This window comes from Homo sapiens, chromosome 11, assembly GCF_000001405.40.
Source record: "Homo sapiens chromosome 11, GRCh38.p14 Primary Assembly".
Taxonomy (NCBI): domain Eukaryota; kingdom Metazoa; phylum Chordata; class Mammalia; order Primates; family Hominidae; genus Homo; species Homo sapiens.
This window is the reverse complement of record NC_000011.10, coordinates 46,439,784-46,460,307: the sequence shown is the minus strand read 5'-3', so window position 1 is coordinate 46,460,307 and position 20,524 is coordinate 46,439,784. Positions and strand designations below refer to the sequence as shown.

Genomic DNA, 20,524 nt, shown 5'->3' with positions numbered 1-20,524 from the left:
ATGGGGTCGTATGCATATGGATCATCATATAACTTTTAAAATTCAGTATTATAAGTCCATGTTGATATAGTTTGATTGATTTATTTCTGTTGTTACATAGTATTCTAATAGTCATTCGTATGTCTTGTTGTCTGTTCCCGATTGATGAACATTTAACTTTCTAGATTTTTCACTCTTATAATGTGCCCTGAAATTCTGTACACATGTGGTGTCTTCTCTAAGATGTTTACACAGAGATGAAATTGTTCTGGCTCATCTTCAGTTATATAGCACAGATTTTTTGGCTACTAAAGCTATAACACTCTTACTTCTTAAACATGTGAAAGGCATCTCAGGGTATTATTCTGACCGGCACTCAGTGAAAAGAGGGAACCTGAGGCTCCTGAACTTCATTGGTAAATCCAAGACCAAGGAGTTTTTCTGAAGTCCTTCAACTCTTTAGCTTCATGGAATAAGTAAATGTATATGTCAAATACAATGGAGATTAAATAGTAAAATGTATATATTTTTTACTTCTCTGTGGTATTCCAGGGTGTGTGTGTGTGTGTGTGTGTGTGTGTGTGTGTGTATGTGTATTTTTTTTTTCTTTTTGGGAGGGAGATGGAGTCTTGCTCTGTTGCCCAGGCTGGAGTGCAGTGGTGTGATCTCAGCTCATTGCAACCTCCACCTCCCAGGTCCGAGCAATTCTCCTGCCTCAGCCTCCCAAGTAGCTGGGATTACAGGCACCTGCCACCATGCCCAGCTACTTTTTGTATTTTTAGTAGAGACGGGGTTTCACCATGTTGGCCAGGCTGGTCTCGAACTCCTGACCTCAGGTGATCCACTTGCGTCGGTTTCCCAATCTAGGATATAAATTTTTTATTAAGTTGTTATAAATATAAGTATCAGTGTCTCTGACCCCCTTTTAAAATTTATAAAGTAATATAGTTTCACTGTAAATAATTCAAGTAATACCAAAATATATAAAGTAAAATGTTCAAATTTCTCTTCCCACTCTTCCAACCCCATTCTCCAAAGTTTGATTGGTTTGTAACATGTCTTTCCAAGTTTTTTTCTATGTGTAATAAAAAACATACGTATATTTATACATCTGTATAGTTTTCATCATTTTATTTTGTAGTGGGGATGGAATCATACAGAATATCCAGGATTTCTGTCTGTCCGTGTATCTAGATCTGCTTTATTCTTAGTAGTGGCTGCGTGGTGTTCCATGGTGTAGTTGGACATAATTTGGTCACCTATTTTCTTCCCGATGGATGTTTAAATTTATTTATAATGAAAGACAAACTCTTTTTGCAAAATATAGTTGCTTTGTCCTGTTCCTGGATGTATATGCCATACTAAAAACTCCTTTAAATTATGATTTGGTTCTGTATAATTCAGCCAGTCCCTCTAATACGCATAGGTAGTAAAAGCCGTCTAGGACCTGTTATCTCACTTGCAGAAGGAGCAGTTTCTAAGGCCAATGGTGACATTCCTTGTGTATTTCATGTTTATGGATGGGAATATTCTAATCCCATGGCTGGACAGTATCTAAAATGTGAGGTTCTGGTCATGGTGACTCAAGCTTTTAGTCCCAGCTACTCAGGTGGCTGAAGTGGGAGGATCACTTGAGGCCATGAATTCAAGGCTGTAGTGAGCAATGATCATGCCACAGCACTCCAGCCTGGGCGACAGAGCAAGATCTTGTCTCTTAAAAAATTAAAAACTTAAAAAATATTATATGAAGGAAAAGTTGATCCCTTCTCTCAAGGAGTTCACCATCTCAAGAAGAAGGAAAAATCACACAGTACCAATGGAAAATCGATGGCTCAGTGTACACAGAGGCAAAAACACTTGAATTCGGAGGAAACTTTATGTACTTGTAGTCAGGTAACCTAACAGATGACAAAGTTTTGTGTTATGAAAAACAGCTAATAGTGTGTAGGCAGGGATTTCTCTCTAATTCAGGAAAGCTTCTGGGAGGAGGTGGGGTTTTAAACAGGCTTCAAGACTGAAAAGGCTCATCTGGATGGCTGTGTTCCAGGTGCGTCCTTTTAGCAGCGTCTCAATATATGGCTTGCTAATATTGCTTTTCCACTGTGTTCCTGGTGTTAATGTTTGAACACTGGATTTTAATTAGAAGCTATTTCAAATTAGCTATCTTTTTATGACAAGTGCTGTTCTCCTCAGATTCCACAGCATATGCCTGGTTCTGGGGACTTCTCAAGTTTCAGAGCAGTTTATGCTGTGAAACAGACCCATTCACCATGCTCTCTCTCACTTATTTTTGCTCCTGATTTTCCATTAGTGGGTTCCTGCACTTCAGAACAAGGGTCTGAAATCTTTTTTCCATTTTAGAATCTAAAGGAAAACAGCATGGCTGGGCCAGTAGGGTGGAATGTCTTTTTTTTTTTTTTTTTGCAACGGAGTCTTGCCCTGTCACGCAGGCTGGAGTGCAGTGGCGCAATCTCGACTCACTGCAACCTCCACCTCCCTCCTTGGCTCAAGTGATTTTCATGCCTCAGCCTTCTAAGTAGTTGGGATTATAGACATGCACCACCACACCTGGTTCATTTTTTGTATTTTTAGTAGAGACGGGGTTTTACTATGTTGATTAGGCTGGTCTTGAACTCCTGACCTCAGGTGATCTGCCTGCCTTGGCCTTCCAAAGTGCTGGGATTATAGGCGTGAGCCACTGCGCCTGGCCCAGCCCATCTTATAAGCAACCGTCACCACCAAATCCATTAAGAATCACTAATATTTTGACCTTACTCAAAAAAGCCTCAGTTCCATTACAGTAACCAAGTCAGCCAGATGCTTTATCTTGATGCCACAAATCTCAAAATTAACATTTTCCTTGAACCTAGTTGTGGAACACCCTCAAGATTGTCAACCGTTAAATTTTTCCCCCCTTCCAAGGTGAATGTGAAGTTGGACTGAGTGTTGTATTTAGGAGTCCATTTTCCGATCTAACCTCACCTTTGACCACCAAGTTCTGTGGGATTTGTTAGCCCTTGGAGCTTAGCCTGTCTGTCGCTGGGTAATGGTAATGTGGCAGTGATTGCAGTGGACTGACACCATGCTGTCCTTAGCCTGAATGAAGCAGGCTTTGAATTAGAGGGTTCAGCAGGCTTGGGAGCTCTTCACCTTTCTTCGCTGGGAGCAGGCCTGTCCTCTTTCTTGCATGTTGGCCCCAACTGACTCAGCTGTAATGCTGTACCCTGAAATGTACAGGTGCTGATTTGACAGGAGCTTTTCACCCTTTAGAAGCTGGGCCCCCTAATGTGAATGTAGGCTCATAGAGCAATAATTCACGTGTAGGTGGCCTGTAAGGAAAGTTTTAACAAAAGAGTTGGTTAAGAAGCTGATTTATTTTCTTGCTTTAACTCTCTTGTCATGTGCTGAGTGGGGGCGGAAGAGGAGGGGAGGGTGGGGACTGGTGCTGCTGAAAGCATTTATCTTCATTTCTGCCATCTCCCAGTGTTTATTACCCTGTGATCGACAGATGAGGAAAGCTGCCAGTCAAACCCACGTTCAGCACATTTCCATTTCCCTTCATTGCAGATTTTAGGCTTTTGAAATCTGCATCCTCTTTGCAGCAATAAAGGTCGTTTCCCTCCTGCTGCTGACGAGCCAAAGACCCTCTGGTCCAATTCCACTCGCTTGTGCTTCCACCAAACAATAAAAGCTGCGGGAGTCTCAGCAATTTAAGACAAGTGATTGGTGAGAGCCATTTAGTGTTTGAGTCAGTCGCTCTCTTTTTCTTTCTCTCTCACCTTTTTCTCCCTCAGTCCTTTTCCCTACCTTCACCCCTCTCTTTGCCCATTCTTATGCTGCTGAGGCACCCCCTTAAGCAGCTGCATTGCATAATGATGAGAGGCTGACAGTTTTCCTGGCTTCACCTAGGGACCCACCTAAGCCAGTGTCCTCTGTTGCTGGGATTAAGTATTGGCAGTGTCAGGTTGTGGGGAATGTATTAGTGGAGGTAGAGTAATTCTTAATACTCTTATCCACCTGCAAGTCTTTTGTCAGAGGTAGAGGCTTTGAGGAAATCCCTGCCTGGTGGGAGCGAATGCTAGATGTTTGTGTTTGGGGTTTTTTTTTCCCCCATTTTTCCTTAACACTACGTTTTTTGGAATACTGTTCCTAGTAATCTTTCAGTAGCATGTGTTCTTGTGAGCTTATTTGTTTTTGTCTTAAATAATGTTTGTGGGTGGAATAAAGGTAATGATACTCATTTCTTTGAAAATGGATGTTCTGCTTTCATAATTACTTGTCCCAATTACATCATTAGTGTAAGTGCAGGTAATTGCTTCATTAGGACATATGTATTGAAGGAGGGAGGGCAAGTCTATAGCATGGTGATAAAAACAGGCCTCACCCTCTTTCTCTACCCACACAGGAGCATCTCAGCTTGACTTCAGGGATCCAGGAGCCACCAGCCACCCTGTAAACAGCCCAGATTAATCCTGGGTTTCAGTGTCATGGGAGGAAGGAAGGATGACCTAGTAAAGAGCAACTTACTTACTTTCTTTGGGGTGGTAACTCATTGCTGAACTCTGGATGGCACTGGTGCGTTCAAGGCAATGTGATTGAATCATTGGGGATTATTACTGAATTAGGGAGCAAAGTATTCTTATGGAAGCTGTATGCTTTCTGAGGCTCACCAGGCCGGATGGCATGAGCCCTATCCTCTGTTTGAGTTATTTGACTGGCTTTTTAAGGGAGTCTCCATTTTCATTCTGGCCATGACAGATCAAGAGGTTATATTCTCCCATCAGACCTTACTACTTTCCTGTAGAGTTGAATATTATTCTGATTTTATGCCATGTCTGTGAATGTCTTTGTGTGCACGCTACCTAGTTATGCATCTCCTCTTTCAAAGCATGTTAAAAGATACCAATAGTAAATGATTCTGCTTATATGAGGCTAACTAAAGTAGTCAAATTCATAGAAAGTAGAATGGTGGTGACCAGGGACTGGGGAGAGAGGGAAAGAGGAATTGTTTAATGAGTAGAGCTTGAGATTTGTTACATACATACAGTTCTACTGAACTGTACACTTAAATATGGTTAAGATGGTAAACTTTTATGTTGTATTCTTTTTAGCACAATTAAAAAAAAAGAAAAAGAAAACCTATGCTGGGTGCAGTGGCTTATGCCCATAATCCCAGCAATTTGGGAGGCCAAGGCAGGAGAATCATTTGAGGCCAGAAGTTTAAGACCAGCCTGGGTAAATACTGAGATCCCATATCTACAAAAACAAATTTTTTTTTAATTAGCTGGGTGTGGGGTGGCGTACACCTGTGGTCCCAGCTACTTGGGAGGCTCAGTTAGGAGAATCACTTGAGCCCAGAAGGTTGAGGCTGCAGTAAGATGTGGTCATGCCACTGCACTCCAACCTGGGCATCACAGCAAGAACCCATCTCCATCTCAAAAAAAAAAAAAAAAAAGCTAATACCAGATTCCTTGTTCACTTACTACTTATTCCAGATAAGAAGGCTCTATCTACTGCTGTGTCTTTAATGAATATCAGGTTAATTTCTCTTTCTTTCTTTTTTTATTTTTATTTTTTTGAGATGGAGTCTCGCTCTGTCACCCAGGCTGGAGTGCAGTGGCGTGATCTCGGCTCGCTGCAAGCTCCGCCTTCCGGGCTCACACCATTCTCCTGCCTCAGCCTCCCAAGTAGCTGGGACTGCAGGCGCCCGCCACCTCGCCCGGAGAATTTTTTTTTTTTTTTTTTTTTTGTATTTTTAGTGGAGATGGGGTTTCACCGTGTTAGCCAGGATGGTCTCGATCTCCTGACCTCGTGATCCACCTGCCTTGGCCTCCCAAAGTGCTGGGATTACAGGCGTGAGCCACCGCACCTGGCCAATTTCTCTTTCTTTTTTGACCTGTTATAAACCTTACTGTGCTGTGGCCATGTAATCCTGGTTTGAATTGTTGTTTTGAGAAAATTTTTTTATGAAGCTGTGATACATAGGAATATTTCACAGTTTGCCAGGCATGATGGCTCACGCCTGTAATCTCAGCACTTTGAGAGGCCAAGGTAGGAGGATCACTTGAGCCCAGGAGTTTGAGATCAGCTAGGGCAACACAGCAAGACCCCGTCTCTAAAAATTAAAAATTAAAAAAAAATTTCATAGCTATTTCTTTTCCTTTCCTCATACACTGTATTCCAGGCCTTGCTACTTTTCTTGTTGAACTCTCAGACTATCATTGCTATATTGGCCTGATCCAGTGCCTTTGGCCTCAGTAGAGTCTTTCTCAGGTCTGCCCCTAAAGTTCATGATTTGCATGTGGACTAATATTATCCTTCTTTGGAGCCTTTAGGAGTTTATTGGACAATAAAATTATGTTTATTTGGGGGCCTAATTCCTACAAATAAGACACGTAACCATTGAAGTCTGTATTTAGAAAATATTTACCCTTTAATTCATGTTAAATATATTGCAAACTTGTTTAATGATTAATCTCAGCATCAGATTAAATGACTGGTAGAGTAGTTATTAAACTGCCTAAACATGATAGACCAAGTGCCTTACTCAGAACATTTCCTATGCCAGAATTATAGACAGCCACGTGGTGCTTTTTTGGGATTTTATTTTTGTGGTTTGCAGAAAATGACGTTCCCTAATACTCTTCATATCTTTTAGCCTCAGGAAACAGTGAAGACTCTATTTCAGCTATAGATAATACACTCAGAATTAGTCTTTGAAGCCCTACTTTTTCTTTACAATGGAAATAATTCTATTTATCTTAAGTCCTTTTATGATTGCTGGTTTTCCACACAGTATATTTTCTATAAAATAAAAACTACTATTTAATTCTCATATGAACCTATGGTTCAGTTATAAACATATGATAGAATATTATTCAGTCATAAAAAGGAATGAAGCCAGGCAGAGTGGCTCGTGCCTGTAATCCCAGCTACTAGGGATGCTGAGGTGGGTGGATTGCTTGAGCCCAGTAGTTCAAGGCTGCAGTGAGCTGTGATTGCACCACTACATTCCAGCCTGGGTGATAGAATGAGACCTTGTCTCTTTGGGGAAGAAAAAAAAAAAAGTGAAGTACTGAAACATGCAATAAGCGTGGATAAACTTTGAAAATGTTATGCTGAGTGAAAGAAGCCAGACACAGAAGGCCACCTACCATATGATTTCATTACATGAAATGTCCAGGAGAAGCAATTAGTGATTGCCTAGGGCTAGGGCAGGAGTGGGACAGAGTAAAAGGGAGTGACTGTTAATGGGTACGGTATTTAGGGGAGATGAAAATGCCTGAAATTAGACAGTAATGATGGTGGTTGTAAAATTTATTTGCTGATGGTTACATAACTGTGCGGATATGCTAATAACCTTGAATTGTATACTTTAAAATAGGTGAATTGTAAGTTATATCTCAGTAAAGCTATAATTTTAAACAGACAGACACACATATATATTTGGGCATTTTTCTCAATGTCAGAATCATAAATGAGAACTCAGAGAAACTTGGGACACTTCTAAGCATGGAAGAAGTCTTCTTATTTGTCATCAGGGACTTTTTCCAGGTACCAGGCTATAGGATACATTGACTGTGATTTCAGATTAGATTAAATGATGATTAGAGTGAGTGTGACTGAGTACTTAGTTATACCCCTTTCTTAGGACAGATTTTAAGACTGCATTTGAATGAAGCTTTCTGGAAAGAAGATTAAGTGTTCTTCCTAGGATGCCATGCAGATATACTCAGAAAGGGAAGATGGTTCCCTTGCTCTGAGAATTATTTTTTGTAAACAGAAGCCAGTGTATTTATTTACAGAGAGCTCAGATAATCCATAAGAGAAAAGTTAAAGTAACCAAAGCTAGGTAGGGTAGCATGTGCCTGTTGTCCTAGTTACTGGGAAGTCTGAGGCAGGAGGATCACTTAAGGGCCAGGAGTTCAAGGCAAGCCGGGCAACATAGTGAGGCCCCATCTAAAAAACAAACAACAACAACAACAACAACAAAAAACCTTAAAATAACAAAGGTTTTTAAAATGTACATAAGACACTAGTAGACCATCTAAAAGATACACAGTGAGCTGGTAAACAAATGAAAAGATGTTCACCAATACTCTTAATTATTAAGGAAATGAAATGGATCCAAAAAATAGGATTACCATTTTTTACTTCACAAATTGATAGACATTTATTTGAATAGTGTTTTCTTAATAACAGCATTATTGAGATATGATTCACCTACCATACAGGCCACCTATTTAAAGTATACATTTCAATGGCTTTTAGTATATAGAGTTGTGCAGTCATCACCTCTATCTAGATATTTCATATCATCTTTATCACCTCCTAAAAAACCCCATACACATCAGCAGTCACTTCCCCTTTCCCTCTCTCACATCCCTCCAGCCCAAAGCAACTGTCAATCTGTTTGAAAAGTTGATAAGTTTTTCAGTTGGACCTGCCCTGGGCTTTCTAGTCTCAGCTCTCCTCCAGCTCAGCTGGTCAGGAGAGCTGAGACTAGAAAGCCCAGGGCAGGTTCATATAACAGCCAAGCAGAAAGATAGTAATTGTGTCTCCAGGATGATGAGTGTTTACATCCCCAACCCCATTCTTATTTCATCTTCCCAGCAGCACACAGTCAGAGATGGCCATTCTGAATTAGAAAGTCTCAAGTTAAACAGATTTTTCAGGACTGAAATGTAATTTAATCATTTCCTTCTTTGCAACTTGCCCTTTTTTACCTTCCCCGAATTAGCTTTTCTGATAGATTTGCTAATGATTCCCATTGTTCAGTATCTTCACTGAACTGTTGAATCATACTTTTCATTTCCCTTCTCCTAGAACAAATCTTAGAGAGAAGCTGTGAAGCTGTTTTGAAAAAAGATTCCTAATTCTTTCCAAGCAACAGAAGAGAAGAGTTTCTGAGAGAAGCAAAGGTAGAGAGATGCACAGAGGCTATTAGGCTTGGCAGAGCTCACCTATCATGTGACTGTGATGATTATTATGATTTTATCCCTAGACACATTCTGGGAGCTCTGGCCTACAAGTTGAAGACCTGACTCTGGAATGAGACTTGGCAGCTTAGTTTTTGCCATTGTTGTTGGCTGATAGTTAGCCAGGATCACTGGATTTAAGCTTCTTTTCCTCCTTGTTTTGTCTGTCATCAGAATAATCTTTATTTCTTCTTTTGCTCTAAGCCTCAATGAAAGGAATTTCTGTGGTTATATGATAGATATGAACTACCATGACTAGTATTGTCCTTATGAACAGCTGCTGTTCCCACTGTCTCCTAGAATGTGAATGAAAGTCGTGGCCCCTCCCTCTTTTTTAGGTTTATTAAAAGTTGAGTGGAAAATACAGACAGTTCCCATATACTCCCTCCCCTTACACCCACAGGCTTCCCCACTGTCCACACCAGTGTGGTACATTTGCTGCAGCTGATGAACCAACGTAGACACATCATTATCACTCAAAGTATGCGTTTACATTAGGGTTCATGCTTGGTGTTGTAAATTTCACTGGTTTTGGCAAATGTATGTGCCATGTATCCAACATTGTAGTAACATAGAAAATAACTTTACTGCTTAAAAAATCTCCTTGTGGCTGTACATGGTGGCTCATGCCTATAATCCCAACACTTTGGGAGGCCAAGGCAGGTGGATCTCTTGAGTTCAGGAGTTGGAGACAAGGCTGGGCAACATGGTGAAACCCCATCTCTACAAAAAATACAAAAAAAATCAGCTGGTCATGGTGGCACACACCTGTAGCCCCAGCTACTCGGGAGGCTGAGGTGGGAGGATCATCTGAGCCCAGAAAATTGAGGCTTCCGTGAGCCGTGATTGCACCACTGCACTCCAGCCTGGGCAATGGAGTGAGACCCTCTCTCAAGAAAAGAAAAAAAAAAAAAATCTTGTGCTCACCTGTTCGTCTCTGCCTCCCTGCAAACCAACCCCTACCAACTACCCATCATTTTTCTGTCTCTATAACTTTTCCTTTTCCAGAATCTCATACAGTTGGAATCCTATAGTATGTAGCCTTTGACTTCTTTCATTTAGTAACATGCACTTAAGGTTCCTCCATGTCTTTTTGTGGATTGATAGCTCATTTCTTTTAGCATGAATAATATTCCATTGTATGGATGTGCCACAGTTTATCCATTCATCTCTTAAATGAAGAACATCTTGGTTGCTTCCAAGTTTTGACAATTATGAATAAATAAATAAAGCTGCTATAAATATCCATGTGTAGGTGTTTGTGTGGACATTAGTTGTTTTTTTTTTTTTTTTTGAGACAGTCTCGCTCTGTTGCCCAGGCTGGAGTGCAGTGGCGTGATCTCGACTCACTGCAAGCTCCACCTACTGTGTTCAAGCGATTCTCCTGCTTCAGCCTCCTGAATAGCTGGGATTACAGATATGCGCCACCACGCCCCGCTAATTTTTGTATTTTTAGTAGAGATGGGATTTCACTATGTTGGTCAGGCTGGTCTTAAACTCCTGACCTCATGATCCACCTGCCTTGGCCTCCCAAAGTGCTGGGATTACAGGCGTGAGCCACTGCGCCCGGCCTATATTAAGTCTTGAAGTTGGGTTGTGTCAATCCTCCAATTTTGTGTTTTCCTTCCATATTGTGTTGGCTATTCTGGGTCTTTTGCCCTTTCATATAAACTTTAGAATCAGATTGTTAATATTCACAAAATAATTCAGGATTTTGATTGGGATTGTGTTGAATCTGTAGATCCAGCTGAGAAGAATTGACATTGTAACAGTACTGAGCCTTCCTATTCATGAACATGGAATATCTCGCTAATTTAGTTTTATCCTTTGTGATGTCTTTCATCAGTTTTGTAGCTTTCCTCCTATAGACCTTGTACATATTTTGTTAGATTTATACCTAAGTTTATTTTTTTGATGCTAATGTAAGTGGTGGTGTATTTTTAATTTCAAGTTCCAGTCATTCATTTGTTCATTGCTGCAATATAGGAAAGCAGTTGACCTTGTATCTTGAAACCTTGCTATAATTATTTAATAGTTACTGGAGTTTTTTTGTTGATTCTTTGGGATTAGACAGTGATGTCATCTGGCAACAAACAGATTTCTTCCAATCTGTATACCTTTTATTTACTTTGTTTTGCGGTGGGGGGTGGTTTCTGATTGCATTAGCTAGGACTTCCAATATGATGTTGAAAAGTATTGGTAAGAAGGGGCTTCCTTGCCTTGTTCCTGGTCTTAGGGGGAAAGTATCTAGTTCCTCACCATTGAGTATGATGTTAGTTGCAGGTATTTCATATTTCTATTTTCTGGAAGAGACGTTAGAGAACTGGTACAATTTCTTCCTTAAATGTTTGGTAGAATTTAGTGAAACCATCTGGGCCCAGTTCTTTCTGTTTTAGGAGATTATTAATGATTGCTTCAATTTAATAGATATAGGCCTATTTAGATTATTTGTCTCTTGTGTAAATTGTAATATACTGTGTCTTTCAAGGAAAGTTAGTCCATTGCATGTAGGTTTTCAAATTTGTAGGCATACGGTTGTTCATAGTATTCCCTTATTGTCCTTTTGGTGTCCATGGGATCAGTAGTGATGGCCCCCCTTTCTTTTCTGGTATTAGTAATTTGTATCTTCTCTCTTTTTTCGTAGTTGGCCTACCTAGATGTTTATTGTTTATTGATCTTTCAAAGTTTTTGGTTTTATTGATTTTTCTCTATAGGTGATTTCCTGTTTTCAGTTTCATTGGTTTCTGCTCATGTTTTTCTTCTGCTTACTTTGGGTTTAATTTGCTCTTTTTCTTCTTTCTTATGGTAGGTGCTTAAATTACAGATTTTAGATCTTTCGTCTTTTCTTATACATGCATTCAATGCTATAAATTTCCCTCTAAGCACTGCTTTCACTACATTTCACGAATTTTGAGAAGTCATGTTTTCATTTTCATTTACATTTAATCCAAAATATTTTTAAATCTCTCTTGAGACATATTCTTTGAGCCATGTGTTGTTCAGAAATGTATTGTTTAATCTGTCAGTTTTATAGGATTTTCCAGTTATCTTTTTATTACGGATTTCTAGTTTAGTTCTCTTGTAGTCTGCAAGTGTAATATGTATTATTCCTTTTCTTTTGTATTTGTTACATTGTGTTTTGTGGCCCAGAAGGTGGTCTGTCTTGGCCTGGGCTGTTTTCAAGGAGAAAGTTGCCAAATAGTATAGGGCCTAGACAGTTTATTTTAATCTTCAGATTAAACACTTCTCTCTCTTGGCCCTGGCACACTATTTGGGCCAGTCTCTTACACAAGGACATCTCTCTATAAGCTGTCTGTTGATGCTGATGTAAGTAGTAGTGTAACTGTAGATGAAATACACACAGAGATTGGAGTAGATGACAGATATAACTTTAAAGGCCATTTATTAGACACTTAGTATTTGCCATCACTATTTATTTATGTATTTATTTACAAGATGGTCTGGCTGTGTCACCCAGGCTGTAACTGTAGATGCAATACACACAGAGAGTGGAGTAGATGACAGACATAATTTTAAAGGCCATTTATTATGCACTTAGTATTTGCCATCACTATCTATCTATCTATCTATCTATCTATCTATCTATCTATCTATCTATCTATCTATCTATCTATCTATCTACAAGATGGTCTGGCTCTGTAACCCAGGCTGTAGTGCAGTGGTGCAGTCTCAGCTCACCGCAACCTCCACCTTCCAGACTCAAGCTATCCCACCTCAGTCTCCTGGGTAGCTGGGACTACAGGTACACGCCACCACACCTGGCTAATTTTTGTGTTTTGTGTTTTTGGGTTTTTTGAGACAGAATCTTGCTCTGTTGCCCAGGCTGCAGTGTGGTGGTGCGATCTCATCTCATTGCAACCTCCTCCTCCTGGGTTCAAGCAATTCTCATGCCTCAGCATCCCAAGTAACTGAGACTACAGGCACACACCACTATGCCTGGCTAATTTTTGTATTTTTAGTAGAGGTAGGGTTTCACCATGTTGGTCACGCTGGTCTCGAACTCCTGACCTCAAGTGATCCTCCTGCCTTGGCCTCACAAAGTGCTGGGATTACAGGTGTGAGCTACTGCGCGTGGCCTTTTTTTTTTTTGCGATAAGAGTCTCACTCTGTCCAGGCTGGTTACAAATTCCTGGGCTCAAGTGATCTGCCCACCTTGGCCTCCCAAAGTGCTGGGGTTATGGGCGTGAGCCACCATGCCCGACCACTTTGTATTTATTGTCTTAGTAAGTTCTTCCAACAATCCTGTAAGTTGTAGGTACTATTATACCCTTTTCTACAGATAAGGAAACTGAGGTTCAGAGAGATTAATTTATACAAAGTCACACTATAGTAGATAATGACAGGAAGTGTCAAAATCTGGTCCAGTTGATTCTGAAACCTGTATTCTCAAAACAAACAAAAAACAAGCCGTAAGATCCCATTGGCAGATATGGAAAATTGAAGTTGTAATGCTGTGCCTTGGATTAGTTTCTTTCCATGACTATAACAGCATCACTTGTTAGCAGCAGACATTCTAGTAGTGGTGCTAAGAGCACCTACCCTGGAGTTAAAATGTAGGATATGTTTATCTAGCTTAGCATTTCTCAACTAGGAATGATTTTTATCCCCAGAGGACATTCGGCAGTGTCTGGAGACATTTTTGGTTGTCTCAACTATGTGGAGTGGGGTGCTACTGGCATCTAGTGGGTAGAGGCCAGGGATGCTAAATGTTCTGCGATGCACAAGACTCTTCACACAAATAATTATCTGTCCTAAAATTTCAGTAGTGCAGAGGTTGAGAAACTCTGAGTCTAGCTTGTTCCATTCTGTCATTACTACATGGGAGAACCTTGAAACCTTAGAAATCCCTTAGCAGTCTCTCAGGATTTGGTTTCTGAGGCTAAGTGCCTCGTATGTAAATACTTTCTAGCTCAGTCCATTAACCCCCTCTGGCACATTTCCTGCCTTCATCTTAGTGGCCAGAGGCCTACTAAATGGTTGGGGTTGTTTTAATAACATCAGGCTTTTTCCTCCTGTTGTTTCCAAGAGACAGGCTCAGTTGGCCTACAGTTCTTGAAGAAAAGAACCTGGTAACAGTACTCTAATCTGTTGCTGGCATCTTTAGCTCCCTAATCTGTGTTTATATGACACAAAAAAAATGACTCTCCTTGGTGCCAGGCTTCATTCCTCCTCAGCACCCTGGCACCATTGGCAGAGAGCACCTCCCCAGTCTCTTCCACACAGTGGCAACCCTACATGTTGATTTTATGGCACAGCTGTTCTCCAGAAGATGTTTCTTGAGACATGGACAGTACAGGATGCCTCTGGAGCCGGGATTTGGGAGTCTTAATCATTTGTGTTCCCATTTGCAGATCCACAGTACTCAAAAAGCATCTGGTATTATTCCTTAACTGTTTTCCTGTTTGTAGTTCTTATCCCTTCCCCCAGAATAAGCTCTTAAAATATGAAGTTTGTTTTTTCAATTTATTTTCTACCCTCTCTTAGCAACTAGCATTTTGTTCATCATGTACTGAGAAAATCAACTTACCTTCTATCATTTGGGGTTGTTAAAAGCTGGAGAAAATGATAAGGAGCTAAATTAATTTGAGAGACTAGTGGTCAAAGGAGGGTGTCAACCATCTTGATAAGCAAGCCCAGGAAACAATTCGGAAACTCAGTGGAACTGAGCCTGGATCAGAATGAAATGGAATAATTCCTTCCAGGGAAGTGGTAGACCTTGTAACTAAAGAATGATTTTCATTATCAAAGAGGCATAGAAAAATCAAGAAAGTTCCTTTTAATAAAGTCGTTCAGGTATCTTACCCTCCTCATGACCCAGAGGTTCAGCAAAAGTCAGATATAATTATTAAAGGGGAATTTTCTGTGAAGGTTAAAGCAAGGGTATATATTTACCTCATCTTATGATACGCCACAGGGACCTCAAATAGAGATTTGAGGTCAGTGGACTCACTGACAGCACACCCCCAAATGCTGTCATTCTCAGGTCTCAGGGAGAGCATGACTGGGCTTATGTCTTTGAATTTGCAAGATTTTAAAGGATGTCTTGTTTTGTGGGTATTCATTTATCTAGAACGGTTTGTTTTAGCCTTTATTCCATTATTGTCCTCCTGAGGAACCTTTTTAGACATTTTTTCCCTACTTGTCTCTCCTCCCATGAAATTTTAATATCACAGATACAATGTGTATCTATTTATATACTCTGATGCTTTGGAGGGGAACAAATGATTACACTAAGTTTTTTTTTGTTTTTTTTTTTTTGTTTTTCTTTTTTTTGCCCCTTTGAACCAATTTTTACCCCCATGGGGATGATATTTCCCATGTTGAGAATGCATGATCTAGAAGTATCATCATTTTGGAAATGAACTGTTATTTGTACTTTTCCTTACAAATTGAAAATGAGACAAAGACAAGACTGTCAATAAATTAATGCTGAAAAACAGTCTTCTGACACAGTGGCCAGCAGCAACCGGAAGAGTGCAGAGAGTACTTTTCTCATATTTCTTGGCTTCTATGAAGGTTTTCTCTTTGAACCATCTCTTGATCATTTGGGGAAAGAAAGGGACACCAGGAGTAGCAGTGCAATAAATGCCGCTCTCTAAAAGAAAAAAACTACAGTTCACAAGATGCTTTTGCAGTGATGTGCAGAGGAGGAAGACTAGGTGATACTGAAGAATCTGGGTATGAAATTGTCCATTTTTCCAAGGCTGGTAAACTCTAACAAGTTCAGTTTTTCACAGTAGCCTTTGATTTACAGCTGAGAATACCATTTAGGTTAGCTAGCATACAAGAATGTTCTATTCTTCCAACAGGGTTTGACTCTGTCTGATCAGAAGGAGGGTGGTTGTGTATGAAATGCACCTCAGAAGGAGGAGGAGGAAATGACATGTTCATGTAAATGAAATACAACTGCAAATTAAAGTGTCACCCTGTTAAAAAAATCCATTTTTTATTTAATTGGTTACCAAGGAAAAAAATGTCATACAGAAGAATATATCTCAGAGAAAGTTAAACCTGGAGATGTTACAAGCAAATGTGGATTCAAGGAGGTTCTTAGGGGGTAGGTATTATAAAAGATGGCCTTAATAAAAATATTCTGATGCTACAAAGTGAGGCTCATAAATTTTTATTGTGTTACGTGCCAGGGGTCCAGAAGAGATGAATGAATATTACCTTATTTGTTTTTTACTGTCTGTTTCTATCCAATCAGCTGTATAGTAGCTGCCTCTTCCCTGGAGGAAGCCTGTTTTTGAGATGTCCTATTAGGAAGAAAGTGATAAAGGAGGAGATACTTTGTCTGAAAGAGTGCTGCTTACTATCAGGATGTCCAGGGACTGAAATGCTGCTGGCTTTTCTGTGTTAATGGTGTCTTCCCATTTTTCATTTTTCTTTTCTCACATTTTTGTGAAAATTCACCTGTCTCTTTTAGATGTTGAGCCTACCAGACCATGTATGTACAGTACCTGCCACGTTGTTGGCACTAAGTAAATGTTAAGTAACAATGGGAAGGACTGATGAATGGGATTATATTTCCACATTGAATTGTTCCCTGGCAAACATGCCTGGTTTTTCTTTGAGACAAAGACTTGCCAGATGGGACTCATTAGCTTTCTTCAGCCATAGTCTAGTTTTTCCTCTTCTCTCCCCACTACTAATCCCAGTATTGTTTTATGTTTTGCAGTGGAAACGTGGATAAATAATATAATGTGCTGTCTTTGACTTCTTCCTCATAAGGGGCAGTGATCGGTGATGGACAGTCTGCTGTGGCCAGTAACATTGCCAATACTACCTACCGGCTCCAGTGGTGGGACTTCACTAAGTTTGACCTCCCTGAAATCAGTAATGGTAAGTCAATGTCAAATGGGGGTATCAGTGGAAGGGTTATATTTGCTGGTGAGCCAGAACTCAAAAATTCATGGAGCACTGGGTTTTTCATCATCCTATTGAGCAGTTGTTATCTACATGCCATTTCTGCACCTCTTCTGTAACTTTCTTTTCAGGTCCATTAACCAGATATCAACCATACCATACACTTAAGTCTATTAAGATCTGGATTAATCGAGTTTAATTAACATCACTGTAGTCTTTCCTAAAAGGGTCACAAGGTTTAGCTCTTGGATCCTACACTCCCTTCTCTTTCTCTTCTTTTCAGTTCCACCTAAACTTTAGGTTTTGACCAGTGAACTACTAGTCCACAAACTCTTCAGAGCAGAGAAATCTTTGTTTTTGTGTCTACTTCAGTACCTTACATTGTTTGCTGCTGAGGGTGGGTGCAAGACATGTTTGCTGAATTGCTTAATTGAGAGTTACAGGCTGGGTGCGGTGGCTCACGCCTGTAATCCCAGCACTTTGGGAGGCCAAGGCAGGCGGATCACTTGAGGTCAGGAGTTCAAGACCAGCCTGGCCAACATGGTAAAACCCTGTCTCTACTAAAAATACAAAAACTAGCTAGGCATGATGGCATGCACCTATAATCCCATAGGGCTTAGTTGTTCATATCTGAAGCTGAAATTTTTCTATCTTGTCTGTGTGATATTATAAGACTTTGCCAGTTGCCTTAAAATAATTAAGATATTCTATGTCTGTGGCATTTCCTGATATGCCAGTTTTCGTATCTTTATTCATCTCAATGGTATGGTTGATATCTGATTTACAAACATGACTGTTTCAGTTTCCTTGCTTCTAGTGAAGTCTGCAGTCCACATCCCAGTTGTTCTATTGGAATCACAACATTTTAAACCTCTCATTTCACTTTCTACCTCGTGAAGGGCTCTCTCTTGCACATTTCTGAGAGGGATGGTCCAGCCTCTGCTTGACTGCTTCTGATGATAGACCACACTGACAAGGTGGCCTGACCATCACTGCTAGATTTGTGTTAAAATATTCTTTCAGCCAGGTGTAGCAGCTCACACCTGTAATCTCAGCACTTTAGGAGGCTGAGTTGGGAGGATCACGTGATCCCAGGAGTTCAAGACCAGCCTGGCCAACATGATGAAACCTCGTCTCTACTAAAAATACAAAAATTAGCTGAGTGTGGTGGTGCATGCCTGTTTTCCCAGCTACTCGGGTGGCTGAGGCACAAGAATTGCTCGAACCTGTGTGGCAGAGGTTGCAGTGAGCCAAGATCACATCCCTACACTCCAGTCTGGGTGACAGAGTGACACCCTATCTCCAAAAAAAAACAAAAACACACAATTAATTGAGCATGGTGGCGTACATCTGTAGTCCCAGCTACTTGGAAGGCTGAGGTGGGAGGATCATCTGAGCCCAGGAGGTCGAGGCTGCTGTGAGCCAAGATCACACCACTGCACTCCAGCCTTGGCAACAAAGCAAGACCCTGTCTCAAAAAAAAAAAAAAAAAAGTTTTTTTTTTTTTTGCACTGAGCCACCATTTCCCTTGTCACTTTCTCCCATTGGTCCTAGTTCTGTCTCTGAACCTCCATAGTATAAATCTCGTAATGCTTCTTTCAAGTGACAGTACTCTGACTATTTAAACTAAGCTGCCATTTTCCATTAAATCTTTGTTGAAAGGTCAAACCTCCTTAGATTCCTTTCACTGATTTCCAAATCCTTGACAGTTCTGCTCCTCTTTCCTTTTAACTTTCAGTGGAGGAGGGCAGAAAAGAATAGAAAACTCTAGATGTGAGCTGTCGAATACATAGTACAGTGGTGCTTCAGACACTATTAGCTTACCCTATGGTTTCAGCAGTTTTTTCAGAAGCCACTCTTGAATTTTTAGTCACTTAAAATTTCTTGATAATTGTTAATAAACCAAGACTCAACCTTCCTGTACTTGTACAGCTTGATCTTTTTTTTTCTGAAACAGAGTCTTGCTCTGTCACCAGGCTGGGGTGCAGTCGCATGATCTCGGTGTACTGCAATCTCCGCACCCCCAGGTTCATGCGATTCTCCCGCCTCAGCCTCCCGAGTAGCTGGGACTACAGGTGCACGCCACCACACCCAGCTAATTTTTGTATTTTTAGCAGAGACGGGGTTTTGCCATATTGGCCAGGCTGGTCTCGAACTCCTGACCTCAGGTGATCCACCCACCTCGGCCTCCCAAAGTGCTGGGATTACAGGCGTGAGCCACCGTGCCCGGCCCAGCTTATCTTTTAATAACGAAAACAGATTTGTATTTGTTTCTATTCAATTTTTTCTGTCAACTGTAGTTTCTTTTTCCTGCCTCTCATCATCTATTTGAACTTTGTTTTAGTCCTTCTTTCTCAGTATTCCATTGTCTACTAATTCAATAAACATGCTTTTCTGTCTTCTGTCAGATTGTTAGCAAAAAGTAGTGAATCAGGCAGGGCATTGCACCAAACCTTGTAGTACATTACTGTGGACTTCCTCTGTGTTGATTTTGGTTTATGAATTACCACTCTGGGCTTGGTTGTTCATATCTGAGGACGACATTTTTCTATCTTGTCTGTATGATATTATAAGACTTTGCCAGTTGCCTTAAAATAATTAAGATATTCTCTGTCTGTGGCATTTCCTGATGCCAGTCTTGGTATCTTTATTGGACAAGGAAAATCAGTTTAATTTTTCATGTCCTGTCTCAATGAAACTTCAGCAGCAACCATCTATTTCTAAGTGCTTATAGGCCACATGTCCAGTAATTCATTCTTTAACTCTGCTGGAAATTAACCACAATCCACATTTTCCCTTATTGAAAATGAAGTTTGCTTCTTCATTTCTAGCTTTCTGTTCCATAATTTATTTAAAGTTGGCCATAATTTATTTAAAATTATTTTGTTTTGTTATTTTGTCACTTTCTTTCTTTAATTGTCATCTGAAATTGATATTACTGTTCAAAAATTTAAAAAATATAAAAGATTAATACAGTAAGAAGCCCCCAAATCCTACCACTCCTCCTCACATGTAACCACTGTTAGCAGTTCCTTATATATCTTTTCAGAAATATTATATGTATATACAAGCAAATGCAAATTTATGTTTTTCTGCCTTTTATTTAACCCAAATGGTAGCATGCTGTATGTACTCGTCTGTACTTCCTGCCCTTTTTCTTTACAGTATAGCTCAGTGTTCTTTTCATGTCAGTATATAAAGAGCTTATTTGTTCTTTTTTATGACTGCCTACTATTCCATTGTATGAATGTACCATAACTAGTCTACTATTAAAGGACCTTTAGGTCATTTTCAATCTTTTACTCTACAAACTGTGCTGCAGTTTATCATTTTGCACATATGCAGGTATATCTCTAGGATACATTTCTAGAAATGGAATTGCAGGGGGGAAGAGTGTGTAGTTATTGCCATACCACACTCTATACAGCTCGTGCCAAATTATTATTCCACTTGGAGTTCATGAGAGTGCCTGATTTCATAAACTCTTGCTGATAGAATGTACTATCAAATTTTTGGATATTTGCAAATCTGATATGTTAAAAAAAAAAAGTAGTATGTGGGCATTTTAAATTTGTATTTTTTGTGTTACAAACAAGATTGCATGCCTCTTCATATACACAGCCATTTGTGTTCCCTTCTCTTGACCTGTCCATGTGCTTTACCAATTTTTCTGTTGTGTT

General features: G+C 40.0%; 1 protein-coding gene and 2 non-coding genes across 12 annotated transcripts in view, besides 1 other annotated feature; 2 read left to right on the top strand and 1 right to left on the bottom strand.

Annotated features, from left to right (window-relative positions):
* AMBRA1 (autophagy and beclin 1 regulator 1) overlaps window positions 1-20,524 on the top strand; it is a 197,612-nt gene that overhangs the window by 133,716 nt on the left and 43,372 nt on the right. For all 10 annotated transcript variants that reach the window (NR_160027.1, NM_017749.3, NM_001367470.1 and 7 more), the window contains one exon: window positions 16,710-16,820. Coding sequence is in view for 9 of the 10 variants with exons in the window: in NM_017749.3 (NP_060219.2) it covers window positions 16,710-16,820 (111 nt within the window). In the remaining variant the exon portion in view is untranslated. The remainder of the gene's footprint in view (window positions 1-16,709; window positions 16,821-20,524) is intronic.
* MIR3160-1 (microRNA 3160-1) lies at window positions 8,419-8,503 on the top strand. Its single transcript, NR_036117.1, has one exon. It is a non-coding gene; the product is annotated as a microRNA 3160-1 (primary transcript).
* Window positions 8,421-8,501, bottom strand: MIR3160-2 (microRNA 3160-2). The gene has a single exon (NR_036118.1). It is a non-coding gene; the product is annotated as a microRNA 3160-2 (primary transcript).
* Window positions 13,746-14,247: an enhancer, noted in NCBI's record as "NANOG hESC enhancer chr11:46467611-46468112 (GRCh37/hg19 assembly coordinates)". NCBI's record gives its function as "activates a minimal SCP1, AML or CMV promoter by ChIP-STARR-seq in naive H9 embryonic stem cells {active_cell/tissue: H9 hESC(naive)}" and the evidence as "EXISTENCE:reporter gene assay evidence [ECO:0000049][PMID:30033119]".